The sequence below is a fragment of the Homo sapiens genome, chromosome 4 (genome assembly GCF_000001405.40).
Source record: "Homo sapiens chromosome 4, GRCh38.p14 Primary Assembly".
NCBI classification, from domain to species: domain Eukaryota; kingdom Metazoa; phylum Chordata; class Mammalia; order Primates; family Hominidae; genus Homo; species Homo sapiens.
The window spans coordinates 28,210,932-28,234,632 of record NC_000004.12 but is presented as its reverse complement, the minus strand read 5'-3'; the positions used below and the strand labels follow the sequence as shown (position 1 = coordinate 28,234,632).

General features: G+C 35.9%; 1 long non-coding RNA gene across 3 annotated transcripts in view; it reads right to left on the bottom strand.

Moving 5' to 3' along the window:
- The window catches only part of LOC105374557 (uncharacterized), a 485,690-nt gene that overhangs the window by 368,567 nt on the left and 93,422 nt on the right, over positions 1–23,701 (bottom strand). For all 3 annotated transcript variants that reach the window (NR_188396.1, NR_188397.1, NR_188398.1), the window contains exon 2: positions 19,485–19,564. This is a non-coding gene — a long non-coding RNA (uncharacterized LOC105374557). The remainder of the gene's footprint in view (positions 1–19,484; positions 19,565–23,701) is intronic.

Below are 23,701 nucleotides of genomic sequence, written 5' to 3'. Positions count from 1 at the left end.
CAGAGATCCCCAGCTCATGAGAAAAGTTTTCATCAGAGTGGGAGGTAAATGAGAGAAATCAGTCTTATCCAAGCCTTTTTTTCCAGAGTTCAAGTGAGGCTTATAATGGTGAGTAGCATATGAGTTTGATCTTGAGCTCTCCTGACATGGTTTTTGAGACAAATTATCAGTAAAGTGGAAGGGTCAGAAGAAAGGCATCGAGGAGAAGAGGGAAGGCTAATTTAATTGCCTTTGTTCCTCAGTGACATAGCTTAAATTGAGCTTGCATTTCTGAGAGCACAGGGATATTTGCATGCTTGGATTTTCATAAGTGGAAAATGAACTCAAAGCACTTGGTCTACAGATAACATATCACTTTATATTTGAAGGACAGAAAATACAACTGGGAGGCAAGGGAATTTGAAAATTCTTCTTCTCTCTATCATTTTTCTCCTGACTTTGGGTGGGGGGATGATAGTGAAGTTCAGTTTAAATGTAAAATACAATGTACCAAATATAATTAAATACAATTAAAGAGTTAAAAGTGGAAAGCTAAAATACATACACTAAATATATATTCTTAAGGAAGAGTTATAATTCGTGGCTATGGACAAATACGGAAATCAGTTTACTCCCTGGTGATTCATTTATGTGTGTATTAAACAAAGGCATATTAAAGATCCTTTGAATCTGGTTTGTATCTAGGCACATTCTGGCACTGATACATTATTCAGAAGATACTTTGACTATATAACTAAATTTATGATGAATTGAAAAAATACCAGGGTGATGATTCTATGCTGTTCTAGGAAAATAAAGACAAATTGGAAAATCTCCAATAATATTTAAAGGTTGAAAAACTTGGAACTCTTTCACTAAAAATCTGGTAGTACTGTGATCTCCTAGAGGTGGAGATAATTAAAACATACAAGCATGCACAAAGGCAATTTACAATCATTGCTTCCAAATCCTCCAGCAAATTTAGATTTTATTTGAGTTGATTTCTTCCACATTTCTTAGTGTTTGTTGTCACTTAAGTCTTCTATCTATGATCACTGTTTGAGATTTTACTAATGCTTAATTGCATCTAAGTAATGAAAAGTTAATAAAGCCATTATAAATATAATCAAAACTATAACTTTGCTATAGAGGTAAATAATTAATTGCTTGTGAAACACTAAATTGTAATTCAGTGGCATTTATGAACAATATAAATGTATAAAATTCAAATAAATGAAACATCAATAAATGTGATCTATTGCTGGCAACTTGAGGAGGGAATAATTAATAGCATCTTTTTTTTTCTGCCCAAGTTGGGAACCAATTAAGAAACACAGGGATCAGACAGATAGAGATCAAAAGAGCATCGAGAATACTGATAACACCTAAATTAGAGAATGTGTCTTTCAGTCTATTAGCCATGTTGGCTAGCTCAGACTATAACCTGAAGTTGAACTTGCTCACTCAGTTCCAAGTATTGCTGGGAATTTACAAGATGTCTCAATGGGGTCCTGCTCTTTTAAGGATCTAAGGAATGTGATGCAGAGAGTATGTGCTTTTTGCTAGTAGGCATATTCCAGTGAGGAAGAGGCTGGGTCACACTTATTATCTTCTCTCAATATCACCCATGGGAAAAGTTACTTCTCTCATGGGCAAGAGTGAATATTAAGTCAGAAAGCAATCCCTATTTTACCCTATTGGAAGCGTTACTACTATTATTATTATCAATGGAAATTTAAAAAATAATAATAATAGTAACAATCACCTCTTGAGAGATTTAAAGACATTCAAATTTGGAATTAAGGAGATGAACTGTCTGAATGTTTTGTTTCAACCCTGTGGTCCCAGTTAGACTGGTAGAATAAATATTGATAGGATAATAGCTACTTTGTATTACCTTCTCACTTGGGCATTCCTTTTACAAAAGAAGAAGACAATTAACAAATGCTTGAGCTACTGTTATTAAATGTTTAACAGCTAGTCATTTAACTCCAGATTCCATTGTCTGCTATGCTGGGCATATGCCAAGAGAAGGACTGGGATATGCAACCTAGATGTCACATTTCAAAACTGTTCCTGTAGCCTGTCCTTACAGGCCTTTGCTTGTCTAAGGTGTTTGATGGGTTGAGGAAATGGGAGACAAAGGAGTTCACAAGGCAGTGAGGGAAGTCTACGGTACTTTTCTGAGAATAGTTGCAATGAAACTCCATTTATTCCTCAGCTAAGATTTTGAATAGAGGCAATAACATTTGGCTTCTGTTAAAAAATAATGCCGGGATAGGAGGCTTATCTCATAATATTTGCTGAGGGATGGACAGGATCACTTGTAAATATGAATGAAATGTATAAAACTGAATACAAAGGTGAAGCATTTAGGGTTTATTAAACTTCTGGTTTTGTAGTATTAAGTTGCAAGAGCATGACAGATACAGAAATAATCTTTTTTTTTTTTTTTTTTTGAGATGGAGTCTCGCTGTGTCACCCAGGCTGGAGTGCAGTGGCTAGATCTCGGCTCACTGCAACCTCCACCTCCCTAGTTCAAGCAATTCCCCTGCTTCAGTCTCCCATGTAGCTGGGATTACAGGTGCATGCCACCATGCCCGGCTAATTTTTTTGTATTTTTAGTAGAGACGCGGTTGCACCATGCTGGCCAGGCTGGTCTTGAACTCCTGACCTCAGGCAATCCACCCGCCTTGACCTTCCAAAGTGCTGGGATTACAAGCATGAGCCACCTTGCCTGGTCAGAAATTATCTTTTATGTTGTATGTAAAGTTCATTAAAGCTGAACAAAAGTGACATATTCATGTTACCTGGGAAGACTACCAATGCAATGTAAATGCTGTATGGGCAATAAATATATAATTATTAAGATAATTGAGAAATGGACACCATATTGAAGATAATCAACATTGTTGTGCCATAGACTTTGAGAGAGCAAAATATCAGAAAAGAACGCTACCTCTTATCGGATTAAATTACTGAAATATTGATACAGGTAGTTAGGCATGAGTGGGGCAGGAGAGGGCTCTCCCCTCCTACCCACTAGAAATGCCAGGTGATGGTTCGGCAAATTTCACATTGCCTCTCTAAAAATAATTCCACAGCACCAGGGAGAGGCCATTTCCTGATGGTCGGCACCTGTTAACATCAAAATGTTAATTGAAAGCAGCACCCAGGGAGAAACAACTTCCTGGGAATGCGTGTTAAGAGATAAAAATGGTGAAGTATGATCTTCCAGGGCACATTCTCCCAGAAAAGGGAAGAAAGCCTCAGATGGGCATGAATATAATTCCCTAAACACAATGCTTGTGCTCACTTCTGAAGGGTAAGGAAAGCGCTGGGCATGCGGAAAACCCACCCTAGGAGAAGAATCATGGGAGAGAGACAAGCTTATAAAAGTTCTAGGATCACGGTTAAATGGGGGCACTTGACCTTCTCTCTTTAACCTTCACATGCCTGCTTGAATCTCTTCCAAATGCACCTTCCTTTCTTTTCTGTTCTGAGGACTTTCTAAATAAACTTCTATTCCTGCTCTAGAACTTGCCTAGGTCTCTTTTTTTTTTTTTTTTTTTTTTTGCTTTATGCCCCTCAGTCCAGTTCTTTCTTCTGAGAAAGCAAGGACTCAAGTTGCTATGGACTCATAAGGATAGGCCACCAGTAATTTAGGGTAAATCAGATCTCTTTCACTAGTAACAATATTATTGCACTTAAAAATCACTGACACTTTTCCTGTTCTTTATTGTATATTAGACACTCCAGGATTTATATTAACATAGATAATAATTTAGAAAAATTAGAGTCTATGAGATAGAGTCATAATGAAACCAAAAGTTTCTATAGAAATATATATATATATATATCTCCCAGAAATAGAGAGAGAGAGATTATATATTGTCTTCCACCTTCCTTTTGTTTTAGACCTTAATTTAAAAAATCGGGGCAAGGAAGAGAAGCATTATTCATTGGGATGCCTCAGAGACTTCAGCTCTCATTATATATAAGTATTTATCTTTCAATACACTGCTTTCAATACCTATCAGTATTCCTCAGCTCCTACATACAAATACATATACACAACATTTTAAATTACTTTAGAGCTTGAAAGTCTGTACATTTTGGATCATTTCTTATTTGGAAATCACTGAATGTTGCCTTTTTTTCCCTGTAATCTATGGCATACGATCAAAATTATGCAAATTTTTTTGCTCCTTAGTTCCGCTAAAACAGGATTCTTGTCACATGACCAGGAAAGATTAGGCATGCAGACACATTGAAAGGTGAAGAGAGGAGAATTTATTAAAAGAAAACTCTCAGTGAAAAAAGGAGGGGTTCTGTTAACAGGCTCCCACCTCACAGACTGAATACCAGGCCACCACATAGGAGTTGAAGAGGCCAGGCTCTTCCCCCTACACAAGACACGAACTTCCTGCGTCTCCACCTCATTCTCCCAGTGCCCAGGAGGGTCCCCCGTCTGTTGCAGGCATGTGCAGAAAATATCCTGGGCAGTTTCCCTCATCTGCACAAAAGCATCTGATGTAAATACTGGGAGGTGGGTCAGGGATTCTCTGGGGAACATGCCCCATACCTACCTCCTGCATCTATCAAATATATAATGTAATCCCAGAGCAAATAGTAATGACACAGGAGTGGAATGCAATTATTTTACCATTTTGCTCAATTTGATTCTGTATAATACTATGGCATGTTATAACTAATACTAATTTATTTTGCATAAATTTATTCATTTTTAGCACTTTCTGAATTGGGACCTATTTTTGAAATGCCTATCTATTTGGTTTTCTGAACGTTGTAACTCAGAAGACTGGCTTATCACTGACAATAAAATTGTAAATTATTGTCTTTATTTTTAAAGAAATTATTGATGTCTGCTTGTTGTAATTTTGACTAGTTATCAATTATTTGAAAGGAAATAGATCTAGGTAATTTTGTGTACTTAGTCTTCGTCTCTGCTTGTTCACACAATTTCTTTGGTGTTTCCATTATTGGACCCCAAATGTCATTATAAAAATGAAAGCAAAAATAAATCGAATACAACTCTCTGCTTGTGGCCCCCTCCTTATGTGTGGCCTGTGAAAGACAAATGTTATTATTCCTTCAATTCTTGAGGCTACTGTACTCTGGCCTCCTGATCCAGGATCCTTTACTTAGCTTATTGTACTTGGGTGCTCCAGAGAGACATAACTGATAGGTTGTATATGTAGAAAGAGATTTATTATGAGGAATTGGCTCACACGAGACTGAGAAGTTGCACATCATTGCTAGCTGGACACCCACAAAACCTTAATGGTGTAATTCATGCTGAGTAATAAGGCCTGAAAACCAGATCTAAGTCACAGCCTGAGGGTAGAGCAAGATGGATATCTCATTCAAACAGCACTACAAAAGAAGGGATCAATTCCTTCTTCATATGCCTTTTGTTCTATGCAGGCCCTCAGGAATTTGGATCAGGCCCACCCACATTGAGGAAAGCAATCTTTTTTTACTCAGACTACTGATTCAAATGTAACTCTCACCCAGTAGCTCCCCCACAGACACACCCAGAATACAGCTAAGCCAAATATCTGGACACCCCCATGATTCCCATCAAGTTGACACATTAAAAGTAGTCATCACATTTATTAACATTGGCTTGGCCCTGTTGAGTTTTTATTTTTGAGGCAGCTCAACTTCATCCTGCATCAGTATCCAACAGTACTATGCCTAAATGTAAAAACAGCTTGAAATGAGCCTAAAATATATCCAGAGGCAACATTCTACAATTCCTCTATGTCCTTACTTGAAATGACACAAAATTAGTAGGATCTCCACTAAACAGTGAGTAGAGTGCCCAGGGAATTATTTACATTTGAGTGTCACATAATATAAACTACTACAGAGTTTAATAGAAAGTGATGCAAAAGTGGAAACACATGTTCAAACTCTGAGGTTATTCCCAACTCTATATGATCCTTGGCAAATACTTTCTGGTTAGGTTGCTTCATTTAGAAAGAGAGGAGAGTTGGGCCATTAATAATAGCTGCCATTTATTGAGTATTTACTCTATCTAGACATCTCTGTATTACTTATATACATTATACCATTTAATTTTATCAATAATTGTATGAGTTCTGTTGATCTAATTTTACGTTTGTAGAAAATGTGTCCTAAAGAAGCTAAGACACTCTCATGGGTGCATTGCTAGTAAATAGTGGAGGCAGAACAAAAACTCATGTCTCTCTGTATTCTAAGTCTGTGCTGTTGGGATATGGTTCTTGTTCATGTTCACATTCTATGATTATTGGTTATTTGGGTGATATGTGTTGTCAACAGGAAACAAAAAAGGTTGTTGGCACACAGCATGCCCTAGAATCTCCTGCAGCACTTTTATACTCTTAGGCAGGAGGAATAACATTTTTTTTTTCAACAGGCTACCAGCTATGTATCTTTAGATTGGAAGCTTGTTGTAGTTGTATTTCTGAAATAAATGCGGCACAGGACAGTGCCTGAATATAATTTGGGGATAATTGAAAAAGGCAAGGAAATCATCCCTGATTAAATTTGTAAATGGCTGTCTGGAGAACCATTATAATTTATGAGGATTTGTTGCTCAGAGAGTAAATAATACCAGTGACAGCATTTCCTCAGAGAACAGAAGATCAAATCGGTTGCAAAGTAAGTGCCAATACTTCCTCTCAAAAACACAGCAGAGGAGACAGTGGTAATAAATGATGCTCCATTTGTTTCAATGCTTATGACCCTCCTGGCTGCTTAAGAGCAGAGACAGGATTTAACTCTTGCATTGCAGTGAGACTACTACATATTCCTGCTGCATACAATGGTCTGAAATTCTTGAAGAATGTAAACAGATTAAGTAAGTTGTTTAGGTAAGTGGGCCACTTATGAACACACCTGCCATTCTGACATATGGACAAGTGTTAACTAGTTTCATGTAATAATCTTTTTTATTTATCCTGTAATGATAATGGTGATAAAACTTCATGCAACACTTTAGAAAGATGACAGGACCCTTGCAATTAGCATTACTGTGGGTGCCTGGTAGTGCAGACTGGGTATTGAAAAATATAGTTTGTGGTCCAGACTTCAATGCTAACCCCAAATCCAAGGTTCAGATTCTAGCAAATTTAATTCTACCTTTAGCTCTCCTATGGCATATAAACTGAAAGCTAGGCAACTTGTCATTCAAATGAGTTTTTAAAAATTGAGACCCTGGATCTCACCATTTTAGAATCTGGTGGTGTCAGCACATATTAAGAACAATTTATGAAACCTTGAAATGCTATTGGTCAAATGTTAGCTGTATATACTGGTGCTGCCACATTAATTAATACATGCCCTTTTTTTTTTAAACAGGCATTTGTTGTATGAGACAAAAGTATTATTCTATTCAGCTAGCAATATCTGGCCTTTGTTGATATCTTAGTACATAGCTTTAATAATCATTTGACATTTAGTATTTCCCAGCTAACAACGGAATGCAATGATTCATATCTGTTGAATGGATTATAAAATCCTAGAGGGCAGTCATCATGTTCTACTTGCATTTTACTAATTGATTAATTAATCTGAACAAAGTTAGGATGTAGTTGGATTAATAAATACAAGACTGATTAAGTCAAGTTTGCACTTAATGGGCACAACACTATATATATTTGTTAGTTATTATTTTTCTTTGTTTCAGTAAATTAGACAAAATTTGGTATATAATATACGTAAAACAGGCAATACAGTGCTCATCATAAAATATATTATATAATACATGTAGTTTCCTTTTATTCATGCACTTAATTTTATGTATTCATAAAAGTGGTTGTATGGAAAACATGCACCCCTCGTTCTCTCTAGGCAAGATGTTTGTTTTCACGTAGGTGTAACAGATACAGGAATTGTATCATTATAAGTAGTACTTAGAGTGAACTTTCTGTACTCTCTATTCTATCTGTAAGAGCCAACACTGAAATTCACATATGCATGCTAAGAATGTAAGAAAGAAGAATGAGCTCCATGCATTTCAATGGGAAAAGAACATCACGATGAATTGCTTTAGTGAGGGATAAAGTAACACAGGTCCAACTTCAGACAACAAGGATGCTGGCTTCTCATTTTGCATTTTACAACCATTTGTCCAATTTTTTTGGTTGATTGCACTGAATTGTTTTGTTTTGGAAAAACAGCAATAGATTAAAAGAAAGCTCTCTGCACAGAAAAAAAAATAAGCTTCAGAGGAGAGAACAAAAAAGGCATTATTAATATAGTTAGTTATATAATTATTCTCCTTACAATTTGTTTCTTAGGGCCCAGTAGCAGCTTTCTGAACTCACTTTGTTGGCCACAACACTTAATGGATTATCACACAATCAAAGCAGTCTAATTTTATCACACAAAATTAAAGTATACCTGCTATAAGGAAACAAGCAAATACACAAGCAAAGATATGAAGAGAAGTCAGCAATACTTGAAAATTAATACCATTTCCTAAAATGCCACGTGTGCAATAATTCAAAGTAAATGACAATATATTATACTCTAAGTCCATAATGTTAGAAAATAAAAGCCTAGTTGTTGCTTGACTTACAAGAGCAAAACAAGCTTACGGTGCATGGGTCCGTGTTGTTTGGCAAGTAGTCAATAAAACTGTACCTTATGACTTTCTCTCCTAAAGGTTCTAATCAAAACAATTTATTTCAGGCATGTAAACCCTGCTTTTCAGACTGTAGCTATTGTCAGCATGTACAGCAGCATCAGCAATAACGGATGCAATTTTTGGATTGAGAGTCTCAGAGCTCCCCCATCTGTCTCAGTAATGGTTGGATTTCATATGGATCAATACAGCATGTCAACTCTAGTACAAGGATTTTCCCTCTAACCTTTATAATAGCAATTTCTATGCATCCAACCTTGTCCAGCATAAAAGCAATATTTGAGGATATTATGTAAAGGAGCTGGAGCTGACAGAGCTGGAAGGACATTAACTACCAGTACCCTAATTGCTAGGGTCCAAGCATTCAGACATTATAGCCCATTTGAAACCTTAAACTTCAGTAACAAAAAGAGAACATGTTTTCATACAAGTTAACTTGCTTGCCTCTATGAGCATAGGACGGTGGTAAAGAAAGGAAAGAGATCTGTAAACAAAGCCACTGCTTATTTTTGTGTGAGGGATATTTGGATGCTCCAGTTGGTTCTCTGAATGTATTTCTCTCTCATCAGCAATGAGATCGGAGAATTGAATGTGATGTGTTTGTCTTAGTAAAAGGTATAACTAGATCCTGGGGGGAGACAAAGTGTTTTGCTTTGTTTCTGCTCCAGTTCTCTACTGAGAAATAAAACCAAGAGGATTCAATTCTTTTTTCTGCAATGGACTTATAGCTGCCATGACTTGCTGCTCAGAGCCACAAGGTGCCGATTGTTATGTATCACTGCCCCTTAGTGGTTGGCCAACAGCAAACCTTTTTAATACCTACCCAACATCACAGGTTTATAGGTATATAGGGCATGCAGGCCCTCCTCTCTGCTTCTTAGAGCAGGCAACAGAGACTTAATGTGCAGACCTGCCCTTTTCTAAGATGATGCTTTGTTTTCTCTGTGTCTGTGTAATACAGAGAAAGAGCAAGTATTCTGGGATCAGACAGAGCTGGAATTATATCTCCCCTCTGCTATTCTCTAACTGAGTGATCTTGGGAAACTCACTTAACCCCTCTCAACTTTATTTTCTCCTTCCAAAATGGAATTAGCAACTACCTTGCTAAACCAGTGCTGTAGGATTAATTTAGAAAATGAAGGAGAATGGCTAGCAAATCATCTGTCATGCCTTCTATTATTGTTACTAACATGATGCTGATGATTATGGTCATGAACATTTATGAAGGATGTGATCTTCCCACTATTACGAGACCAAAGAAATGTATGAATGCTATATAAACTGTACTGTAGTCTCTATGAAGTTACTAATGTAGTCTGCCTTGATGAGTGACTCTAAGAACAGTACAACAAAATGGTTCCTGCTTTCATTCCAGATTATAAATTAATTTAGTAGTTGTGGTTTGTGGGTTAGATTATGGTTATGTGAAATAAGATTTTAATTCAATTTGCCACATATTTTTGGGAGCCTATTGCACAAAATGTGCTGTTCTGTGTAGTCATTGTACAAAGAAAAAAGTAAATGATGTATGTGTTTTTATACAGTTTGCAAGTCAGTGGATACAACAGAGATATACATTTACCTAAATAGAAATTAGACAGATTTATAGCAAGTGCTGTGGGATTATAGAGGCAAAAGAAGTCAATGTCACTCTCAGAGTAGTTTTCATAGAGATGGTGATATCTGTTGTGGTATATGAAGCAGTATTTTTAGAGTTGGAATAAAAGAGGAAACATTCTAAGTAGGGAAGTAGTAAAGGTGAGTACTTCTCAAAAGAATGTATGAAGTAGTCAGAGAATAATGAAAAAATTAAATGTAGAAAAAGCTTGAGTTATGTGTTAGAAATAATAACAAATAAGGGTTAGCAGGATAGATTTTTGGAAGGCCTCGAATACTGTGCTGAACTTTTAAATGGTGTACTATAAGCATTAGGGAGCCATGAACTAATGTATTTTACATTTTAGGGCTTTTATCTTATTTCGGGAGAAGACAATGCGAAAATGTGTTTCTTCAATATTATCTTTTATATCAAGCTAAATTATTTATACTCATGTTGAAGGTCATGAATTATTGTATACAATGTTGATTTATCTTCTCTTTAAAATATTGCCATTTTCATTTATAATTCTTTTCATTCCTTTTCAACAATCAAATCTTCCATTGGCCTATCATTTTATTCTACCTGTCAATGTTGGCTGGTTATGAATATTTTTCTCTACTCCTAAATAATTTTATTCTTCCCAGAAAACAAATGGTTACTGAAGCAGAGAACACTGTGAATATCCAAATTGAATCAATCTGCATGTGATGTAAAACCTTGGACTATATTATGAAGATGTAAAAATTATAAAGGAGCACTGAGACATGAATGAAATTCCCCAGAGAATCATTAGATGATGTATCAACTTGACAAAATATACCCAAGTATTTGTCTATTTCTGTCCGTCATCACTAACACTTCCCAGATCCAAGACATCATCATTTCTCACCTGGACTACTGCATTGGCTGAAATTGAAAATCTGAACTTCCTGGTTTGACTCCTCGTTTGACTTCTCATTTCATTAAAAATAAAATGTGAACTTTTATTCATGTTTTACAAGGTCTTAATAATATCTGTAAACTCACTGCATACTCATACTCCTGTGCAGTCACTCCACTTTAGTCAGGTTTTCTTGTTTTTTTCTAAAAACTAAACCCTTTTCTACCTCAAGCCCTTTGCTTTATCTTTCTTTTCCTGGAACATTGATCTTCTTCAAGAGCTCACTTCTTCACTTAATCAAATTTTTGCTTCAAATCCTTGGTCCCAAGACTGGTCCTGACCATATAAGGTAAAGCAACTCCTTTCCCTGTTCTCATCGTTTCTTAATTCCAGCACATCATGCCATTTTATTTCCTTTCTGAAATTTATTGCAATAACAAATTATTGTAACTTTTCTCTATTTACCTTTTATAGTCCATCTTACAAAATCTCAGTGAGAACAGTCTGTTTTATTTATCTTTGCATCCCCTGTACTTTAAACAGTGCAGGCACATGTGTTTGTTAAATATTGGTTACATGAATGAATTAATTAATTAATGATGCATGAAAGCCTGAACCACATGGGAAGGAAAATGAAATAGAAAGAAACCGAGAGGCTAAAATCAACAGGAAGAACAAAAGAGAGTGGGAGATGGCTCAATGAGGAAAGTGTGAGTATCACACACATCAACATGGTAAGATAGGAAAAATAAAGGAGACATAGCTAGTACCCAAATGGCCATATTTATAGTCAAGGATAATTTCAATTCAATTTGCCAATGAATAAGTGGGAGGTCTTGGAATTAATTCTCCCCACTGTAAGTGCATAGGCTCTGGGGAACCAGTCAAAGGAAGTATGAGACATATAAAGAAGTAAAAAGAAGTATAAGCAGCCTCTATACCTGGTACTCAGGTGGGTGCAGGAAAAAGCAATGTGGGCCTATGTAGCTGGAAGGCTAAAGTTATATTGCAGGATGTCCCCACAGAGCTTATAGCAGAGTTCTGGCAAACAAAGGAGGAGGCATTATGAATTAGAAACCCTGGCATGAGGTGTTGTGGTTCTAATTTTAACAAGCTAGATTCTAATATAAAGCCCCTGCTCTATAACAGAGGAATGAAAAGAGGGGAGATAGCAGAGAGAGGAGGAAATGGCATAAGGAAGGTAGGACCAAGGTCCTGGAAATGAAAAGATACTATGCATGCTGTTATTTAGAGAATTCTCTCAGGTGGGTAAGTTAAAAATCAGTACAATCAGATAAAGAAGCAAAGTCAGAATTAGAACAATAGGTACTTGATATTGTGTTCTGACGGCTGGTTTAAGCATTTCTCTGAACCACCTACTTAAGGCAGGCGCTAGTGTCTGAGCTGTCTCTTTAGGTGTGAGTCAAGTGTCTTAAACAGAAGGGGATAACTATAAAATCTGGAAATCACATAGGTCAGGTGAAAAGGTAGGAGATACTCATATTCTAGTCCAATTTGTTCTTTTTTTTTGAATCCTGTTGCAAATGACAATATTGTCTGAAAATGACTTTTAAAAATAGCATTAACAGTGATAGTTGTCACACAAACTTGTTTACAGACACTCTCCCTCATTTGGCACATACCTACAGGAAGATTTTTTAGCTGGGAAAATAGATTCATGTGGCCCAGAGTGCTAATATAAATGCTGATCTCCTGAATCTGTGAGAGCACATGGCATGAATAGTAACACAAGGTATTACAGGCTTTATGCATGAAAAATGCCTGTGATTAGAGATAAGTTCATGGGGTAGAAAAGAATGTGGAGACAGAATTACAGACTTAGTACAGGAAAATAGATTAAGGTTGAGAAACACTAAGATAAAAAGATTTGGCAAGAGTTTGAAATGCTTTTCAATTCATGCAAATAATCGACAAGGGGAAGTGAACAGGTTGGAACTGGATAAAACAACAGATATTAGAGAAAGACAAAAGATCAGACTCAGGGACAAAATATTAAATAACCGCCTATATCTTGAGTTACAAGTTATCTAAGAGTACAAACTGACTTGAAAATGTTCTCAGTAATGTACAATAAAAACAACAACCAAACAAATAACATTAGTTGAGCAAGAAAGGAAAAATCAACGTGGCTTTAGTTACTAATTGTATCCAAATGGAAAGTAGAGATTTCTGCAAAAAAAAAAAAAAAAATCCACTGTAAATCTCAAGTGGAGCATTTATGGATAGATTTTACCTTATGCAGTTTAAAGTTTGCATTCGACAGTCTTTTTGGAAGACGACATGTAGATCGAGATCAAATCCTTATTAATGATACTATAGAGAAAGACAGTGATGATCCTCAATCCTGAAAGACTTGGTATCTCCAGCTTCTCTAATACTGAAACATCATAGACTCTATATCTTGTCCTCAAGGTGGTTCAACATGAGAGATAGCAAACTGAAGTTCATTTTTATGGATGTTCATTAGATATGAGGGCATGAAGTAAACAAAAGGGGAACATTGTCTATATAGTTAGCTATACATTTCTTCAAAGCAGTCCTTGGCTCAAAGATTTCAAAAACAGTAAATGGTTATCAAATGATGACATAAAAGATTAATCTAATGTTTGTAAATGACAACGTATATAGCATAACATTGTAGATTGCAATATGTGTATGCATACAATGTTTATATGTCTAGTTATGGTATCTAATCTGTATGTTATCTATAAATATTAATTTTTTTTAATATAATAATTTGATCAGTATTCATATACAATATAAATTGAGAAATTGAGAATGAATGATAAATTCACAGAGAACAGTGATTGTTTTGGTCACTATATACATGACGCAATAAAAGATTGTCAATAGGTCAGGCGTGGAGGCTCACGCCTGTAATCCCAGCACTTTGGGAGACCAAGGTGGGTGGATCACAAGGTCAGGAGATCGAGACCATCCTGGCTAACACAGCGAAACTCACTCTCTACTAAAAATACAAAAAAATGAGCCGGGCATGGTGGCAGGAGCCTGTAGTCCCAGCTACACGGGAGGCTGAGGCAGAAGAATGGCGTGAACCCGGAAGGCAGAGCTTGCATTGAGCCGAGATCCCGCCACTGCACTCCAGCCTGGGCAACACAGTGAGACTCTGTCTCAAAAAAAAAAAAAAAAAAAAGATTGTCGATAAATGTACTCAATAGATGGATAACTATCTCCAAAAGCATATTGAAATACTTGTGTTTTCTTTCCTCTCTTAAACATTCCTAAACACAGACGGTGGCTATATCAAATTTTATAACTAGTTTATTTCATTCAAATTATAAATTAATGAATGTTTTCATTAATTAGTAATAAAATTATTTTAGCATTAATTCAATCATTATTTCAATAACTGGAGTTTACATTTTAAGTGCTTTATGTATACCTTCCTGTTCCTACTTTGCTAGCTTTTTGTTTTTCTTAGAAATGACCAGAAATAATTTCAATCTGGAAACAGCTTGCCTTTCTAAGGGCACGAAACCAATGTAAAACTAAATAACTAACTAAATAAATAAATATCTCAATTCAGCTGTTGGTAAAGCCATATAGCTAATTAAACTGAACTGTGATTGTGTCTTTATATACCACAATAATTAATCATGAGACAAAGCTGAAAGTATAGAACAGAGAATCTTTCTGTTCTGAATGCAGTCAAGGTAGATGAAGTAGTCAAGGTATAGATTAAAAACTTGAAGCAGTAGCACCAAAAATTTTTTATTGCTTACGAGACTTAGAAGGCAGGTAATAAGCTTAAACAACTACAATATTCCAAAGTCTTTTAGAGAAATGCCTGGAAATTCTGAGCAAACATTTTCAGATTGGGAACTTGTCCTGTTTCAGTTCCAAAATAAACATTTCTATATTCTCCATATTGCTGAAAAAACTTAGGCAGAATTTTCTGAGGGGTCTTTTGTATGTAAACTGAAAAGATTCTGCTAATTTTCTGTAATCTAAATGTCAAATTGGGGAAATTTCTGTAGACTTTCTTCTAGTAACATTTTCCCTATAAAATTTTTTTTGTTTTATAACCCCAATATCCCAACACATACATGTTTCTCATTACCATGATTTTCAACTGGTACTTAGATAGGAACAATTTATGTTTATTTTCCCAAAGGTGATTTTCTATAAAACAACATTTTTAACAAAATATCAGACATCATTCTCGAGTGACATTTCAAATGTAATTGATAGTATGCCATATCATGTATAGAAATTTCAAGAAGCTGATATGTCAATTAGAAAGGATTTTTGCAATTTTGGGCTCTTAATGGAAGGATATGGCAAAATATACAACCTGAACCTTTCTCTGCTGTATTGGTCTCATCCTGGAAATGACTACACTATGCCTTTATATTTAGCCATTCTTTTTGTCTATTACTATACAATGAATCTTCCCCTAAAACTGACAAAGTGTTGAAGGAAATCATATGAAAGGAAGCAAAACAGGTAAACAAAATGTAATTATTATGATCATGTATCTGTATATAAAACAACTGTGGTGTGTGTGTGTGTGCATGTGTGTGTGTGTTTGAGACAGAGTTTTGCTCTGTCAACCAGGCTGGAGTGTAGTGGCGCCATCTGGGCTCACTGCATCTTCTGCCTCCCAGGTTCAAACAATTCTCCTGCCTCAGCCTCCAAGTAGCTGGGATTACAGGCATGCATCACAATGCCTGGCTAATTTTTAGTAGAGACGGGTTTTCACCATGTTGTCCACCAGGCTGTCTCAAACTCCTTACCTCAGTTGATCCACCCACCTCGGCCTCCCAAAGTGCTGGGATTACAGGCCTGAGCCACAGCGCCCAGCCTGTTTGTTAATAACCATATTGACATTTTGGAGACTAGGTAGCAATGTGTAAGCATTTCATATTTTTAGATAATAGTTTGATACTTCTTCTTGGCATTCTAAAGAGTTTATTTACATTTTTGGAAGTTGTTTCAAGAGTTTTAAATATTCCTGTAACATTTATAATGTTTTCCATCTAAAATAATGAGAATTTGAGTTCCTCTTAAGATTTTAGAACAGAAAGTCTGAGTTTCAGCAAGGAATTGCTAACTTTATGAGGATGATGACTGATTTCACTATTTCTAAAGCTCTAAATTGTTGAGCAGCCTTGCTAATGCTTTTCTTTAGAATCTAGCTCTTTTCTTTTTTTTCTTTAGGCAACTTCCAGCTTCAAGATTGTTCTTGTTGCTTCATGATTAAGGACAGTAATATGACATCTCAGTGAGACCAAGCTCCAAATTTCTCTCATTCTACAGCTATAAATAGTGCTATTGTAGCATTTTATTTAAGGGAGATTGGACGATTTTGAAAGGAAGATCCCTGAGCATGGAACTTAGTTTTACACTATAGTCTTCCCTCACTCTACCTAGAATTCATGAGAGTGACTTATTTTACCTATGACAAATTGTAGATTTGGAAAAGGCATTTGTTTGTAGAGACATCATGTCATCTGGAAAACAAGAATAGATGTACTTGATCATGCACAGGTATGATCTAAGAAATGTATGCATAAATGATTTATAAGAGATGAATAATTTAACCTCAAATTATTTTTAAAAAGCCTTGTTGAATAAAAGGCAAAACTAATTAATGGCAGAATTTAAATAATTACTTTTAACAAAAATGTTAGATTTGAAAAGAAGCCTTTATTTTTAAGTGTCAGTTGAATACAAAAATACATATTGTGTCATTGGCATTCCCTAATGTGAGAAATTTTCCATAGATATTTGTACTTTTTGAGTATCTTTCTCTGTATTTTTCTGTCTTTCTCATGCATAGTGGCTTTCAAGGGGGCAGAAGTCTTATGCAAATAATGACATTATCTTCTTAAATTATTTTCAATAATGGGTCTAAATCAAAGTAATGAAGGAAACAGGCTAAAACCTTAAAAAATAAAATAAAACTTCTCTGAACTAAGGCATCATTGTGTGATTCAATTAATGACTTATAGTCTAGTGAGCCCCTTGCCTTCCCAATAGGCTTTTGTTCAAACTTGCTTTTTTGTCTGTTTTTTTCTTGCTTTCTGGCTGGCTTGCATGCTTGGCTTTTTATTTTTATTTGTAATAATTGTGCTTCTGTGGGTTAGAAACAGGAATCACCATCCCCACCATTGAAAATACGTTTCTAACTCTTCTTCTGCAAAATTATGACGATCTAAATGAGGCCTTTTAAAAATGTAATTGTTTAAATAAAATCAGTGTTAGTATTTGAATTGTCACTATTTACCAGAAATACTTATGGTAAATAAACTTTTCCAAATTTCTTATAGTATACTATGAGAAGCATTTTCTTTTTTTTTTTAATTTTTTTTTTAAATTTATTTTTATTTTTGAAATGAAGTCTCACTCTGTCGCCCAGGCTGGAGTGCAGTGGCGTGATCTCGGTTCACTGCAACCTCCGCCTCCCAGGTTCAAGCGATTCTCCTGACTCAACCTCCTGAGTAGCTGGGACTACAGGCGCGTGCCACCATGCCCGGCTAATTTTTTGTATTTTTAGTAGAGATGTGGTTTCGCCATGTTAGCCAGGATGGTCTCCATCTCCTGACCTCTTGATCTGCCCGCCTCGGCCTCCCGAAGTGCTGAGATTACAGGCGTGAGCTATCGCGCCAGGCCGAGAAGCATTTTCATCCCAATAAGGAAAGCTCAAGCTTTAAAATTCACTCTGTTAAGCTGGTAGTTTCTAAGTTTCTCCTTATGGAAAATTTTCAAGAGCACTTGATGAATAATTTGATATAGGTGCACTAGATGGCTTAGTATATCCATAGTACTCAAAGAGGTTTATTCACCAGGAATATTCACTTCATCACTTCATATTTTTCACACTTATAATTTTTCCTTTTGCTTTCTTAAAGTTCTTACTTAGAGCAGTTGCTGTCACTATTGTTCAGCTGGTTAGCACTGAACAATATTGACACAGTGCTATTGTGGAATACCATCAAAACTGAGACACTGAGCATTAGGTACTAATCAAATCCAAACACACAATTTTTTGGCATATGAGATATCTTTCATACATATAGGATCAATAAGATGCAATAATAGTCAATGTTCTAAGACAAATATATTCACATGAAAAACAACATTACAAAAATGTTCTCCAGTAAGTATTTTGTCCTACAAGTTGGGAGAATACTCATTATTCAATTTGAGCAGCAGAACACCTTGATTCTGCTAATGGAACATGTTCTGTACGATAATTGCTTCAAAACCATCTTCCTACCTTAATAGACTTTGAAAAAAGAACAGGAAGTAAAAAAATCCTGAGTATAATCAAAATGAAAATTCGGTGGACATCTAAATGTACAAAATTTATTATACACAGCATGATTTATGAACTAAACAGGATGTTTTAAGCAAATAGAATAATTCCTTTAAATCTTCCCCATATCTGTATATTCACATTTGCCTTGGACAATAACTTATAGAAAAATTGATATGATAAGTGGTCAGATAATTTTGGTTTTCTTCTCATAAGAAGATAAAATAAAAATTTAAAAACCTAACAAATAGTGAATAATTTCATTAAATAACTGCAGTAGGTTGCATTTAAATAAATGTCCATTCTGAAACCACAAAGAATGCAGAGGAGATATATTTGTACGGAGGGCTATTTTGTGAATTGGTTAATGGTGCAAGACAGTCTCAGATCATCACAGATTCATAGGAGAATGTTCTGGCAAAAGTTCATAGTCTATTTCCTTCTGGAAAAGGTTGGTAAATTTAGGAGAATTTATTTAAAGTTGACTTTTTCCTTTATCAGTGGCCTGGCTTAAGTTTTCAAGATGATGATCAAATGATTTTAAAAGGTAGGTCTTGTTCACATAGGTAGTAAAGAGGTTATGTGCATACCTACATACACACACACACACACACACACACACACGCGCACACACACACACACACACACAGAAAAGAAGAGAAGGCTGGCTTTTACATATTTTAATAATTTTCTTTACTCCTAAAAACTGCTTGTTTGAAAAGTTTCCACTGGAACTAGAGTACTAAAAAGGCATAATTACAGCTTTTTAAAATTGAAAAACATCGCTAAGTGTAAATAATTTAATTTTGCAAATATGAAGCAGAAGTTTAGAGAGGATAAGTGACTTACCCAAAATAGTACAGAATGGAATCCTGGATGCAGGTCTTCAACCCCCAAGCAATGTTCCTTCCAATTTTCTAGACTATAAACACTATATGACTTACATATTCAAATTCTCTATTAAATGATGCTTTTTTAAATTTTGCTGTTGACATTTACAACTTAGCAATGAAACAAATTTCCAACTATTTTTCAGAAAACTAGAACTAGAATCTTTACTCACCTACTTGCGAAGGATTGATACACATCTGCAAGATCCTATGATGTCCACTGAGGAGCAACAGCTCAAATAAGCCATGATCCCTGCCAACAAGAATTTTATAATTTATTAGTGGGAAAACTGCAAGTATCTAACTAGAATATGCCATTTAACATGTGCGACTTTCATTCTGGAGACCTCCTTCTATTGCACTATTTATAGCCATATGGAATGTGTGGAGATTCGGATCTCTGATGAGTGGCTGGTATGTCTAATCATGATAGGGTCTGACATGTGCATCCGTCTTTTAGGTTCACAGTCTACCCAGAACCTTTGTTCAGAATGAGTATAAATTCATGTAGTAAGATAACTTTGTTAGAAGAAAATACAGATTATCTCAAAATGTTCTAACAATTAAGTTAGAATACTGTTTAATAAGCTCACACCTTCTAAACACCTTGTCCTAAATGTTCCCTTTAGAAAAATCTGACATTTAAAAAAATTCAAGTTGTAATATGGGAATAAACATGCAGTTATACTATTACATTTTCTTTATTCTTCATAAATATGGTCTAATCTCACATAAGAAATACTTTTACACAATATTTTCCAAATTTAAGAACGTATAGCTAAATAGTAAATGCAATTAATTATGGAGAAATAGAATTTTGAATGCAGCATAATTATATTAATTCACTTGCAGATTAGAGAGATATTAAAGTATTTTTTCCTATATCCAGATTTAGACATACAATATAGACCATTTCATTAAGAAAGTCCTTACAGTAGTGGCTTAAACCTCATAGACTTGAGGTGGATTTTTATTATATTTATTACTTTCATGTAAGTTCTAGCTTAACATTTTTTAACAGTGAGAAATATGGGACACACCCATAGCAAGTCTCGCTATCTGGATATCTAAATGCAGAGCATTCATAAGATGCTGGTTAGGTTTGTGAGATACAAAAACTTGAAACTGAATCTTGATGATATAAGTATTTAATAGAAAGGGACTTAGCAATAGGATGTTGAGTAGTGCTATTTCTTTTCTTTTCTTCTTTCTTTCTTTCTTTTTCTTTCTTTTGTCCTTCCTTCCTTCCTCCCTACCTTCCTTCCTTCTTTCTTTCCTTTTTCCTTCTTTCTTTTTTTTTTTTTTTTTGGTTGTTGTTGAGACAAGGTGTTGCTCTATCACCCAGGCTGGAGGGCAGTGGCCAATCTCAGCTCACAGCAATTTCCACCTCTCGGGTTCAAGAGAGTCTCCCACTTCAGCCTCCCAAGTAGCTGGGAATACAGGCACATGCCACCATGCCTGGCTAATTTTTGTATTTTTAGTAGAGACAAGGTTTCATCATGCTGCCCAGGCTGGTCTCGAACTCCTGACCTGAGGTGATTCACCTGCCTCGGCCTCTCAAATTGCAGGGATTACAGGCATGAGCCACCGCCCCCCAGCCAAGTGGTGCCATTTCAAATGACAATGTGAGGAGACCTGCAAAATTGCTCCTTCTCAGCAAAACAACCACAAGTGGTGAAATTACGTTAAAAAATAATATTTAGCATTTGTGCAAGTGGTCCTGAGGACAAACAAAAAATGAAGAAACTAAACCTCAGTGAAAAACACCAAGAAACTGTAGGAATTGAGCTACACTCAAACCCTCTCACTTCCTCAACCTCTACCCTACCCTCATCTAGTCACACTTGGCATGACTGAATGCACCACTCTGGGTGTGTCTACCAAGATGGGGCTTTCTCTAATCCCAGCTCCCAATCAAGAACTGCCATGTTTATGTAAGAGCAACAGTCAACTAGCATTTCTCATAATCCTTATCTCTATAGCAGAAGCTGTATTCTAGGTGAGTGTCTTGGAAAGGCTGAGGCTCCCATCTTCTGTAAGTCCCCATTTGTAGGGTAGAGTCTGTCATAGACACAGCCAGGACTAGAATACTGGAGCCTCCAGTGCCCTCACCCAGCTCACTACTAGGATGGAGTATCTATGCTGGAGGAGGCAAGCAGAGAAAATGAGACCACCATCCATTCTGAGCACCCTGCTTGTAAAGCAGGATGTCACTCTGAGAAAGTGGGTCACTGTCCCTGCTCCTAGCTCTGTAACAATAGTTCAGAGATTTTGCCTAGGCAGAGAGGCAAGCTATATAGAGAGTTTTGAAGCTCTCTCCAAAGGAACTGACTTCATTTGGAGCACAGTACAGGAAGTTCAGATATACCGGTGATATAAAAACAGTGAAGACTTGCTAATAAGTGATTAACAGGAAGTTGGTAGCTCCATTCGTTCAGCAAACTAAACTGCAGGCCAGCTAATTCACCAGAGAAAAGCAGGGAAAGAGGCAGCTGAGAACAGCCCTCCTGGAGTCAGAACAAACTTCAAAGACTGGTCTCCAAGATTACCTCTCGAAAGTGGAAATAACCCAAATGTTCATTGCTAATAAATAGGAAAAATGTATAAATGTACAATGGAATATTATTTTGCAATTAAAAAGGATGAAGTGTTGATATATGTTACAACATGAATAAACTTTGAAAATACTATATTCTAAGTGATAGATGCCAATCACAAAATATCACATATGATACGCTTCTATGTATGCGAAATAGCCAGAAAAGGCAAATGTATAGTAACAGACAGTAGATTAGTGCTTGCCTAGGGCTGTGGGTGGAAGGGTTGGGGAAAATAGGGAGTGACTGCTAATGGGTGTAGTGTTGCTATCTGGAGTGATAAAAATATTATAACCTTGATGTGATAATTGTTGCATAACTATGAATTGCATAGTATATGATTTATATCTCAATGAAGCTGTGATTTGTAAAATAGATATTTGGTGTTTCACATTATCACTGTGATGACCAGAGAAACAGGCTCTGAAAAAGATCAGGAAGAAACTGGAGCCACAACTGGGAGGAATTCATAACAGCTGAGGCATGAATGGCTGGACACTACAGATAACAATCTTTCAGCCAGGAGAATATAAGCCACACAAGCCTTTTTTGTTTATAAAATATCCTGTCTCATTTATAGCAATGCAAAATGAACAGAGACACATACACTAATAAAATACTAATGAAAATAACTAACACATATACTTTTTTTAAAGCCATGTACAAGACACTGTTCTGAGGGTTTTACATATTTTAACTCATTATGCACTAACCTTATTATGTGAAATAGACACTTTTATTACTATCTCTTGTTTTCCATATGAGGAAATGAAGACACAGCAAGATAATGTAAAAATTTCATGAATACTTTGCCCTTAAAAGGCAGAGATGGGATTTACAACAAGAGTCAGCTTCTGGAGACCTTGTTCTGAACCACTACTATGTTGAACTTCTTCCCTGTGAATAACACAGTTCTTTTGATTCAACTCGGCTCTCATAGATAGATCATGATCCATGTTCAGAAATATGTCTTTTCTGCTAGGCATACACGCTGAAAAATCACCAAGTCAATCTAGCACTGCATTATTTTACTACTGGAGAACTGTGTTAGATGGTGGGGGAGGGATTAGGAAGCAAACTCCATACCATACAACCTCTGCTCCTAAGAAACTTGCAGTGTAATGAATTCATGCTACATAAATACACTAAACAGCTCTAATTAAAGGGGTATTTATTCCTTAAAATTTTAATTTGTGAAACACTATCTTCAAAATAAATATCATGCGAAAACATGCTATATACCACCCAATAAGAGTATACTGGCTCTGATTCCAGCTTGAGTTTTAGATTTCATGTCTATACTACTTATTACTGTCCCTGGTCCTACAAGACAATTTCCAAAGCAGCTAAGAGAAAATGCTCAGCTCTCTGACTTTCAGTTTGAAAAGCTAGATTATGATAAATTCAGGGAGAAACATGAAAATCAATATTTATGAGGCTTTCTAGGAAGAAAGATAGCATTGAGTTAAGGGAAGCCCAAAGGTGATCCTTAAAGAGATGACATTTGAAATAAGCGTTGACGGATGAAGATGGGTGGTGGTGCTGGAACTAGAGAGAAACTATTATGACCATAGACTCACAAGCAGATTCAGGAAACAGTAGATAATCTAGATTTGTTTGAACACAGATTATATACACAGATGCCCTAGAAGATAAATCAGGCCAGGTCAGTTGACTCATTATGAACCATAAATTGCCAATGTAAAGCTTTCATATCAACTGAAAAGTAAAAAAATTGTTAAGTTTTTTAATCACAGTGGGAATGTGCAGAATTATGTTTTAGAAAACTAAAT